This window comes from Homo sapiens, chromosome 5 (assembly GCF_000001405.40).
Source record: "Homo sapiens chromosome 5, GRCh38.p14 Primary Assembly".
Classification (NCBI taxonomy): Eukaryota; Metazoa; Chordata; class Mammalia; order Primates; family Hominidae; genus Homo; species Homo sapiens.
In genome coordinates this window covers 173,968,508-173,981,145 of record NC_000005.10, presented here as the reverse complement: position 1 = coordinate 173,981,145, position 12,638 = coordinate 173,968,508, and the positions used below count along the sequence as shown (strand labels likewise).

Sequence of the window (12,638 nt, the reverse complement as noted above, 5' to 3'; positions counted from 1 at the left end):
CTGAGAGACTTGAAGATGGATCACATCACAGGACTCTTTGCAGACACTGAGCCTGGTAGCTCAGCTGGGTGGCTAGACCCAGAAGAGCAAAAACATTTACTGCAGTGTGGCTCTCAGAAAGCCCCATCCCTAGGGGAGAGAAGAGAATACCACATTAAGGGTCCATGGGACCAAAGAATCTGAACAGCAGCCCTTGAGCCCCATATCTTCCCTTTGACATAGTCTACTCAAGTAAGAAGGAACCAGAAAAACAATTCTGGTCATATGACAAAACAGAGTTTTTTAATGCCCCCCAAAGGTCACACTAACTCACCAGCAATGGATCCAAACCAAGAAGAAATCTCTGAATTGCCAGAAAAAGAATTCAGAAGGTCAATTACTGAGCTACTCAAGGAGGCACCAAAGAAAGGTGAAAACCAACTTAAAAAAATTCTTTAAATAATACAAGATATGGATAAAAAAATCTCCAGAGAAATAGCATAAATAAAAAACAATCACAGCTTCTGGAAATGAAAGACACAAAGAAATGCAAAATCCACTGGAAAGTCTCAACAAGAGAATCAAACAAGTAGGAGAAAGAACTTCAGAACTCGAAGATAGGGCTTTCAAATTAACCCAATCTGACAAAAACAAAGAAAAAAGAATTCTTTAAAACTGGACAAAGCCTCCAAGAAGTTTGAGCTGATGTTAAATGACCAAATCTAAGAATAATTGGTGTTCCCGAGGAAGAAGAGAAATCCAAAAGTTTGGAAAACATATTTGAGGGAATAATCAAGGAAAACTTCCCTGGCCTTGCCAGGGATCTAGACATCCAAATACAAGAAGCTCAAAGAACACTTGAGAAATTCATCGCAAAAAGATCACCTAGGCACATAATCATCAGGTTATCTAAAGTCACGATGAAGGAAATAATCTTAAGTGCTGTGAGGCAAAAAGCATCAGGTAACCTACAAAGGGAAACCTATCAGATTAACAGCAGATTTCTCAGCAGAAACCCTACAAGCTAGAAGGGATTGGGGTCCTTCCTACCTTTAGCCTCCTTAAACGAAACAAATATCAGCCAAGAATTTTGTATCCGGCAAAACTAAGCTTCATAAATGAAGGAAAGGTATTTTTCAGACAAACAAATGCAAAGAGAATTTGCCACTACCAAGCCAGCAGTACAAGAAGTACAAAAAGGAGTTCTAAATCTTGAAACAAAACCTCAAAATATGCCAAAATAGAACCTCCTTAAAGCATAAATCTCACAGGGCCTATAAACAGTAACACAAAGAAAAACCAAGGTATTCAGGCAACAACTAGCATAATGAATAGAATAGTACCTCACACCCCAATATTAACACTGAATGTAAATAGCCTAAATGCTCCAATAAAAGATACAGAATGGCAGAATGGGTAAGAATTAACCAACCAAGTATCTACTGTCTTCAAGAGACTCACCTAATACATAAGGACTCACATAAACTTAAGGTAAAGGAGTGGAAAAAGATATTCCACGCGAATGGACACCAAAAGTGAGCAGGAGTAGCTATTCTTATATTAGACAAGACAGACTTTTAAACAATTAAAAAAGACAAAGAGGGGCATTATATAATAATAAAAGGACTAGTCCAAAAGGAAAATATCACAATTTTAGATATATATGCACCTAACACTGGAGCTCCCAAATTTATAAATAATTACTACTAGACCTAAGAAATGAGACAGATGGCAACACAACAGTAGTGGGGGACTTGAATACTCCACTGACAACACTAGACACGTCATCAAGACATAAAGTCAACAAAGAAACAACAGACTTAAACTATACCCTAGAACAAATGGACTTAACAGATATTTACAGAACATTCTTCCCAACAGCTGCAGAATATACACATTATATTCATCAGCACATGGAACATTCTTCAAAGTAGACCATATGATTGGCCACAAAACAAGTCTCAATAAATTTAAGAAAATCAAAATTATATCAAGTGCTTTCTCAGACCACAGTGAAATAAAATTAGAAACTCCGAAAGGAACCCTCAAAACCATGCAAATACATGGAAATTAAATAATCTGCTCCTGAATGATCATTGAGTCAACAATCAAATGAAGATAGAAATTAAACCTTTTTTGCACTGAATGATAATAGTAACACAACCTATGAAATCGTCTGGGATTACAGCAAAAGTGGTGCTAAGAGGAAAGTTCATAGCATTAAACACCTACATCAAAAAGTCTGAAAGAGCACAAATAGGCAATCTAAGGTCACCTTAAGGAACTATAGAAACAAGAACAAACTAAACCCAAACACAGTGGAAGAAAAGAAATAACAAAAATCAGAGCACAACTACATGAAATTGAAACAAAAAAAATACAAAAGATAAATGAAACAAAAAGCTGGTTCTTTGAAAAGATAAACAAAATTGATAGACCGTTAATGACATTAACCAAGAAGAGAGAAGATCCAAATAAGTTCAATTAGAAAAGAAATGGAAGATATTACAGCCTATACCACAGAAATACAAAAGATCATTCAAGGCTGCTATGAACACCTTTATGTGCACAAACCAGAAAACCTAGAGGAGATGGATAAATTCCTGCAATATACAACCCTACTAGATTAAACCAGGAGGAAATAAAAACTCTGAACAGGCCAGGAGCACTGGCTCACGCCTGTAATCCCTGCACTTTGAGAGGCCAAGGCAGGCAGATCACCTGAGGTCAGGAGTTCAAGACCAGCCTGGTCAACATGGCGAAACCCTGTCTCTACTAAAAATATAAAAATTAGCCAGGCATGGTGGCAGATCCATGTAATCCTAGCTACTTGGGAAGCGGAGGCAGGAGAATCACTTGAACCTGGGAGGTGGAGGTTGCAGTGAGCCAAGATGGCACCACTGCACTCCAGCCCTGGGGACAGAGCGAGACTTTCTAAAATAAAAAAATTAATAAAAATTGAACAGACCCCCAATAACAAGCAGAAAAATTGAAATGGTAACTTTAAAATGGCCAACAACAACAAAAAGTCCAGGAGCAGATAGTTTCACAGCTGAATTCTATCAGACATTCAAAGAATTGGTACCAATACTATTGACACTATTCCAAAACATAGAGAAAGAGGGAATGCTCCCTAAATCATTCTATGAGGCCAGTATTACCCTAACACCAAAACCAGGAAAGGACATAATAAAAAAAGAAAACTACAGACCAATATTCCTGATAAACATAGATGCAAAATTCCTCAACAAAATACTAGCTAACCGAATCCAACAACATATCAACAAGATAATCCATCATGATCAAGTGGGTTTCATACCAGGGATGCAGGGATAGTTTAACATACACAAGTCAATAAATGTGATGCACCACATAAACAGAATTAAAAATAAAAATCACACGATCATCTCAATAGACACAGAAAAAGCATTTGACAAAATCCAGCGTCACTTTATGATTAAAACCCTCAGCAAAATCGACATAGAAGGGACATACCTTAACGTAATAAAAGCCATCGATGACAAACTTACAGCCAACATTATACTGAATGGGGGAAAGTTAAAAGCATTTCCCCCTAAGACCTGGAACAAGACAAGGATGCCCACTTTCACCACTTGTATTCAACATAGTACTGGAAGTCCTAGCCAGAGCAATCAGACAAGAGAAATAAAGGGCATCCAAATTGGTAAAGGAGAAATCAAATTGTCACTCTTTGCCAATAATATGATCATATACCTAGAAAACCCTAAAGACTCATCCAACAAGCACCTAGATCTGATAAATGAATTCGGTAAAGTTTCAGGATACAAAGCCAATGTACACAAATTAATAGCACTGCTATACACCAACAGCGACCAAGCTGAGAATCAGAACAAGAACTCAACCCCTTTTACAATCGCTGCAAAAAATAATAATAATAATAAAATTCTTAGGCATACACCTAACACCTAACCAAGGAGGCGAAAGACCTCTACAAGGAAAACTACAAAATGCTGCTGAAAGAAATCACAGGTGGCACAAACAAATGGAAACACATCACATGCTCATGGATGAGTAGAATCAATATTGTGAAAATGACCATACTGCCAAAAACATTGTGAAAATGACCATACTGCCAAATTCAATGCAATTCCCATCAAATTACCATCATCATTCTTCACAGAACTAGAAAAAGCAACCCTACAATTCATATGGGACCAAAAAAAAAAAAAAAAGTTCACATAGCCAAAACAAGACTAAGCAAAAAAAAAAAAAAAATCTGGAGGCATCACATTTTCCAACTTCAAGCTATACTATAAGCATATAGTCACCAAAACAGCATGGTACTCTGGTATAAAAATAGGCACATAGACCAACAGAACAGAATAGAGAACTCAGAAATAAAGTCAAATACAGCCAGCTGATCTTTGACAAAGCAAACAAAAACATAAAGTGGGGAAAGGACATCCTATTCAACAAATGGTGCTGGGATAATTGGCAAGCCACAGGTGGAAGAATGAAATTGGATCCTCATCTCTCACCTTATACAAAAATCAACTCAAGATGGATCAAGGACTTAAATCTAAGACCTGGAACCATAAATATTTTAGAAGATAACATTGGAAAAACCCTTCTAGACTTTGGCTTAAGCAAAGACTTCATGACGAAGAACCCTAAAACAAATGCAACAAAGGTAAATAGATGGTACTTAATTAAACTAAAAAGAAAGAAATAATCAGCAGAGTAAGCAGACAACCCACAGAGTGGGAGAAAATCTTTACAATCTATACTTCCAACAAAGGACTAATATCTGGAATCTACAAGAAACTCAAATCAGCAAGAAAAACAAAACAAATAATCCCATCAAAAAGTGGGCTAAAGACATGAAGAAAAAATTCTCAAAAGAAGATATACAAATGGCCAACAAACACAAAAAAATGCTCAACATCACTAATGATCAGGGAACTGCAAATCAGAACCACAATGCGCCAACACCTTACTCCTGCGAGAATAGCCATAATTAAAAAATAGGTAATGTTGCTGTGGATGTGGTGGAAAGGGAAGCCTTTCACATTGCTGTTGGGGATATAAACTAGTACAACCACTATGGAAAACAGCGTGGAGATTTCTTTTTAATTTTATTATTATTATACTTTAAGTTTTTTAAGTTTTAGGGTACATGTGCACAACGTGCAGGTTTGTTACATATGTATATATGTGCCATGTTGGGAGATTTCTTAAAGAACCAAAAGTAGATCTACCATTTGATCCAGCAATCCCACTACTGTGTATTTTCCCAAAGGAAAAGAAGTCATTTTATTTAAAAAAAAAAAAAAAAGACACTTGCACATGCATGTTTATAGCCATACAATTTGCAATTGCAAAAATATGGAACCAGTCCAAATGTCCATTCAGCAACGAGTGGATAAAGAAAATGTATATATATATATATATATATATATATATATATATATGCACACACACACACCATGGAATACTACTCAGCCATAAAAAGGAATAAAATAATGCATTCACAGCAACCTAGATGGAGTTGGAGACCATTATTCTAAGTGAAGTAACTCAGGAATGGAAAACCAAACATTGTATGTTCTCACTTATAAATTGGAGCTAAGCTATGAGGATGGAGGATGAGAATGATACAGTGCACTTTGGGAACTCAGGGGAAAGGGTGGGAGTGAGGGTGAGGGGTAAAATACTACACATTGGGTAGTCTACTACACTGCTCAGGTGTAGCAGCAACAGTGCACACTGCTTGGGTGATGGATGCACCAAAATCTCAGAAATCACCTCGAAAGCACTTATCCATGTAACCAAACACCACCTGTTCCACAAAAAACTATTGAAAATTTAAAACTACCATTATGGTAACCGAAGCCATTTGTTTCTCTTATTTTTTAGTCATTGGATTTTGAATTCTGGCATGCTGGAAAAATTTTTAAAATCAAATACCAGATGGTGTGTAATAAAAATTGTAGAGATTATTTGAAACTCCAGATAATGTTATCATTCTCCAGAGAGAATTTACTTTTGTTTCTGGTGGGCAGCTGAGGTAGAGGAAGTTCATCTTAATTCCTTATCTGGGATCAAGCTGATTTATAGCTGGGTTCAGTCTTTACAAAGGCTAGTGTATATCTTGTTTGGTCTTACTCTCTAGACTCTCGCTCTTAAATGCCCCAGTTGAAAGTCCAGGGTGTTTATCAGGGCCCTTTCTGGACCTGGTCTTATTTTTGTCCCTTACACCCCATGAGGCCACCTACAGCTCAGCGTCTTAGCCTCTAGGCTGTCACTCACGATCAGCCAATGTCTGGAGGAGAAGTCATGCTGGATATTGCATCACCGTGGTGCTTGTCTTCTGCCCAGACCTGTGCACAACCGGCCTCAAGGTCTTACCACCTCAGTAGCTCTCCAGTCCTTTTGAATATATATTTATATAAATATAAAATATATATTTTTAAATCTAGTGTTTATTTTGGTAGGAGAGACATCAAATCTGATACTAACTCCTTCCGCTTAGACAGAAGAACAGGGAAGGAGGAGATGTAGGCAACAGAGGAGACTGAAGCTACTGTGCCTTAAAACCCTGTTTTGGCCTGTCCATATGGAACAGTCACAGAGCTGTCTCACTGTCCCAGTCACCTGGGGCCTTCCCTGTTCTCCACGAGAGTCAGCATGCGGGGCTGCTAACAGGATGCCCAGCAGGATGACACGAGAGCCTGATAAGTGAGGGTGCACCCAGCTTACACCTTCTCACGGTGCAGATCTCAGCCTAAAGGCCCCTCTTGGGAGCTGCCATCCTGGACCCCTCTCTCCAAAGCAGCTCTGTCCTTGCGCCTTCCCTCACACATTGTCTCTACCATGCTCTGAAATTCTCTTATTTACTGTGTACTTGTTTATTGTCACCCTCCCCCACCTCAGCCTCATATCAGCACCTGCCCCCCTACCACCACCACCACCACCACCAGCCTCTTGGGACTCGAGTGTTCTGGTAAGAGGGGGAGAGGACTGTGGCTTATCTCAACACTTAGACATCATCTCCAGCATCTCCTTCACCTGCAGCAAGGGGCCAACCCTCAGTACCAGCGTGCGCCACCTCCACTGTTTCCCCAAAGTCTGCCCACTCCCGAGGTGGGGAAGCTCCTATGGCACTGCATCCCATCCCAGAATATGCTTATTACAAATTATAATCACCTGTGTACAAGTCTACCTCCCCAAGGAGACCATGGGGCCGGAACGTGCCTTTTCTGTTCATTCAAGTGTTCATGCCTGTCTCTCTCACCTGATAAGGCGAGGAGGAGTTTCTGCTCACTAGTCCTTCCCCCGCCCCCGTGGGCCGCAGAGCACCTGACACCATCCAGAGGTTCCCGTGGCTCCAGGCTTCTCTCCATGCTACCAGCCAATTTCTGAGCCCTGTCTCTGAGCCAGACCCGTGCTCGGTATGTACATGGAGTGCGTTATTCCATCCTTACGACCTAGGAGACAGGAACTGCCAATTCTGTGAGGTAGGGGCCGTGAGCCTCGTTTTACAGATAAGAAGGAGGAGGCACAGGAGAGGTTAAGTCGCTCAGCCAAAGTTACGGCAGGGAAGTCCCGGGGCAGGGACTCAAACCCAGGCTGTGTGGCTCTGGCTGCCACAGCCTGAGCCCCTATTCGAGACCGCGCCAATCACAGCATCCGTCACACTGTGTTATGGTTGTTTCTCTCTTCCCCTCCACGGAGCTTCTCCCGGAGGGAGACAGTCGACCAGAAGAGTGAAGAATGCAGGAAGGGCTGATTGGAAGCGGGGAGCCTTTGTCTTGCTCAGCTGACATTGTCCACCAGGTGGCAGTCACAGCTCCCGGATAAAGTCGTCCCTTTTCATCTCCCCCCTTCCCCTTTAAGAAGGAAACCCTTTTTTTCCCCCGACGCCGCCTCCCTCAATTTTTATTATTACCAAGAAGTGAAGTGAGTAGCCTCAACTCAAAACACGACTCCCTGCCTGAGCTTTTTGAAAACGGCACGTGGAGAAGGTGCGTCTCCAACCCCCGTGAGCCGCGGCGCAAGCGGAGAGAGGCAGGCGGGCTTGGGGGTGCGCAGCCTGGGAGCCCAGGATCCATGACGTGAGATGGAATTTCAGCCCACAAAAGAGGTGACTGGCTCCTCCCTCCCCACCCCTCATCAAACAGCTGCAGGAGCGCAGTTAACCAAACGGTGCATATTCCTAGTCATGAATTCCATTTGGCCAGCAGCAGGTCTGGGACATATGGTCCCCTGAGGACACCTCGGGGATGGCTGTCAGGAAAGGGCCTACCCACCTCATCTGCCTGAAATGCTGTTCCTTCACCCTCCGCTAGTTCTGCCACAGCTTCTGGCAGCTTCCATTGTGTTCCCAAGAGTGGAAAGGGGACTGATTCGGGGGGAGTGGGGAGCCGGAACACACCTTGCTCCTAAGTCCCCTAACTTTCAAAGTGCTAACCCCAGGACTGCTCTGTGAGGGAAAGAGGCCCAGGCCAATTCTATGTGTTGAGGGGAAGAGAGATTTCCTTTTTTATAATAAACAAATTGTGGGCCGGGTGCGGTGGCTCACGCCTCTAAATTCCAGCACTCTGGGAGGCCGAGGCGCGCGGATCACCTGAGGTCAAGAGTTGGAGACCAGCCTGGCCAACATGGCGAAACTCCGTCTCAACTAAAAATATAAAAATTAGCCAGGTGTGGTGGCGGGCGCCTGTAATCCCACCTGTTCAGGAGGCTGGGGCGGGAGAATCGCTTGAACCTGGGAGGCAGAGGTTGCAGTGAACCGAGATGGCGCCACTGCACTCCAGCCTGGGCGACAGATCAAGACTCCATCTCAAAAAAAAAAAAAAAAAAAACCACACACAGAAATTGATATATTTTAAATGTGTATGTTAAACAAATAAATAAATGCTATTAACCCTCAAAGTACAATGTAACATCCTTGTGCTCTTGTTGAGAATTAGGGGAAGATTGGATTCTTTGTGGGTTACCACAGAGGGTGTGATAATGGTACCAAGTTGAAAGGTGTTCAGGGCTCAATGCTATGATACCAGGCAGTGGAGCTCTATGGCTATTGTTCAGCCTTCAGATAATGTCAGCTGTCTCCATTTTCAGTCCTTTGTGAATGAAAGGACCCTGGGCCCAGGGGACCTGGCCCAACCCTGAAGGAATGGGAGGGCCCCACCCCTACAGGGAACTGAGATACAATTCTCTAGACCTGGTAGCAGGAAAACTGAGTGTTTCCTCCCTCCCCCTGCTGCCTCCACACCACAAAACCAACACAGACACACACCTGGGTTTTGCGCCCAGTCTCTTAATTAAGTTGCCTGCATCATCACTTCCATCTCATTTTCCTTCCAGAACCGCCCTTCCCGCCCCCGCCAAATTAGAGCACCGCTTGATCAGAATTAGAGTCTGTTTCATGCAACTAAGTATTAATACCACTCCTTACTTGTTGAAGCAGGATCTCATACCCTTTCAGATAAGCAAAGAATTTCAATGAGACTTCAGAGGACAGGGAGGGGATTGGGGTAACAGTCTCCCTTTGTAATCGATACCTTCCTTTTGAAGGTTCTGTGTGTCTAGGCAGGATTAGAACTGGCCTTGTTTCCTTCTGACTTCATGAAAGTTTTGCCTTTGCTGAAGTGTTCCAAGGGAACGAGATTAGTAATGCGTTGTAAATTGTGTTTCCTCCCAAAATAGTAGGGCACGTGGGACTTTGCCAACTCTCAAGTCACGCGCACGTGTCTTCCTCACTGCCCACGTTCTCTCTGACACGAAGAGCTAACGTGGCCCGGTTCTGCTGCCATCCTCCACTGACACCAGTGACACCAGCGCCACTGCTATCCCCTCCTAAGGGCTTCTCCTGCCCCACTCGGGCTCCTTTACAATCTATTCTTCCCACAGTTGTCCTGGTGATCGCAAATCAGTCCCATTCCTCCCCTGCAGCTACTCTTCACTGACTCTCCCTCTGTGTAATTAGAAATAAAATCTAAAGTCTCTACTGGGCTAACAAGGTCTTGTCTTGTGCAGCCCCTCCACCTCTCTGAGCTCAGGTGCGCCCCCTGGCTCACTGTGCCCGGCCACACTGCTCTTCCTTGCACATTTATCAAGCTCAGTCTTGCCCCAGGACACTTGCACGTGCTATTTCCTCTGTCCAGAATACTTTCTCCTCACAGTTTAGCATGGCTTGTGTTTTCTCATTATTCAGATGTGTTTAAATCTCACCTGTCAAGGAGGCCTTCTCTAATCGCCCAGTTAACATAGCCCCACTCCTTCCTAGTCTGCACTGTATTAGCTGGTTTAATTTCCTCGAGGCTTAGCACTAATGTTTTCCTACTTATGTACGTGTTTACTTGGTGACCGTCTGATGAGTTCCCTTTCCCAGGACATAAATGCCAAGGGAACAGGGACTTTGCTGGATTTGTCCCCACAATGTCCCCAGAGCCTGGGACAGTGCAAATACTTGTTGGATGAATGACTGAATGAATAAAGAAACTCCCTGATGCAATGCTCTTTTGCAGATCAACAACTTTGGGTAACAGTTATAAAGTCGCAAATTCAGATTAGTGGTTCTGTGCATAACAGTAGTGCCTTATCTTTTCACGGCATTCTTTCCCGAGATCTTCCCAATGACGCCCATCACATTTCACTAAGGCTGCACTGCTGAAGCTGAAGTGACTCACCAAAATCCGACACAGCAACACACACACACACACACACACACACACACACACACACACATACATCCCAGGGCTCAAACCCAGGCCTTTGTCTCCAGAACATAAATGCCAAGAGGACAGAGCCTTTACCTGTCTTGTCCCCACAGCATCCTCGGGGCCTAAGAATAACAAATATTTGTTGAAGAAATAAATAGATGAATGAATGAGCAAACTCCCGGATGGAATTTTTTCCCTGGGACTAAGGCAAATTCTAGAAAACAGATTCCAGCCTCATCTGGCTGGTCTGCTCAGACATAGAGGGGAGCCAGCCCTTCCTTTGCTTTTGTCCTCCCTGTCCCTAGGGCCTGGGTCAGGCAGGAGGCCCACCCACAACCCCCCCAGGCTCTGCTCTCCCTGCCGCTGCACTCATTCTGACAGCGTTACTCCCAGGTCTGAACGTTCACGGCTTTCTCAAGAACTAACTTCTATGGAGAAGCAGTAGCATGGAGCCCACTGGATAGCTTGGTAGAGATGTAGTCTCAGGCTCCCAGCGCTGCTGACTCGCAACCTGTATTTTGACAAGATCCTCAGGTGAACTTTTTGCCTGTACTTCTCTGAGTGCTCCAGGCTACCTTTATCAGGCATTCTGATATCCACTTTCCTTGTGAAACATCCAGCCTTGGGGCCCCATAAGCTGTGGGCCTCTAATCCTGAAGCACAGCCCTCCTCTGCATGGCAATTTTGAAAGCCGGTCTAAGAAAGAGAGCTCACATAGGGATCCTGTTAGTCACCCATTCAGCAAACATTTAGTAAGTGCTTACCAGGAGCAAGGCACATGATGGGTCCTGAGGACACAGGCGAGCAAGAGAATGTTTGTTTCCTCCCCCAAGAAAGGTAAACAAATGATAGGCAGTGACAATTATGCATCCTATTTAGTGCTGAGTCAGGAGTGCTTCTGATAACAAATAAAACATGATGGCCAGGAGGGCTTCAGAGAGACCCAGGAAGTCCTCTCAGAGGGAGGAGGTGATGGTGATGTGCCAGCTGACTGCAGAAGGAGAAGTGAGGAGCCAGCTCCACGTGGAGCTGGGTCGAAGCAAGGAAGGGAGCAGGGCAGGAGCAGGCAGAGACTTTCCTAGGAGGCAGGTGAGAGGACGGTGCACCAGGGAAGGGGACCTGCATTACCAGAACGGTGGCCCAGGCAGAGCGGCGGCAGCCCGCCGTCAAGAAGGGGAAATAGAAGGGCAGGCTGGGAGCCAGGGCCAGGTCTTGCAAGGCCTTGGGGTGGATTTGATTTCCAGGGCAATGAGCCACTGCTGTTGGGGTGTTTTGCAAGGCAGGGGCAGAGGCGGTCAGGTCTCTGTTCCACCCTAGCTGCGGGGGTGGAGGCTGGAGGCTATATCTCCATCTCTCTGAGAGGTGAGGGGACTTTCCTTAGGTAGTTGGGGCCAACAATGGTCAGATCTGGGGCAATAATGTTAATGATACTGGGGACCCCTCATGATTATGACTGAAGCACATTTTTCGTGAATACCTTGTTAAATCCTAACCTCAAACCAGTGATGAAGATATTATTTGCCCCTTCTAATGCATGAGAAAGCCGATTCTTAGAGGTTACCTAATGTGGTCTGGGTCACTCGGTCCGTCAGCAGTAGTCCAAGGATAGAAACCCCGTTGGTATCACCCCAAAGCCAAGTCCCTAACCACAATGCTTCCTGTCTTTGGCGTTTGAGCCCAGCTATGCCTAACTCCCAGAAGCAAGTCAGGTCTACTATCCCACATGGTGTCTGGGCTCCCTTCACCCACCTTTTGCAGTTTATAAGGACAAAGGGGAAAAAATTGCAGAACTAAAAATTCTGTTTCCTCAAAGGCAGTATCACTGAGCTGTCGCTGAAGGACACAGGGCCTAATTTCCAACTCCTCTTCCCACCTCCTGATTCTTTCTCTAAAGGGAAAGATTTGGGGCTTATCCAAAGTTTCCAGAAAACCAGTCCCAGGACACAGCCC

At 44.0% G+C, this 12,638-nt stretch overlaps 1 annotated feature.

Annotated features, from left to right (window-relative positions):
• Positions 7,875-7,954: an enhancer, noted in NCBI's record as "active region_23673". NCBI's record gives its function as "activates an Ori minimal core promoter by ATAC-STARR-seq in GM12878 lymphoblastoid cells {active_cell/tissue: GM12878}" and the evidence as "EXISTENCE:reporter gene assay evidence [ECO:0000049][PMID:35858748]".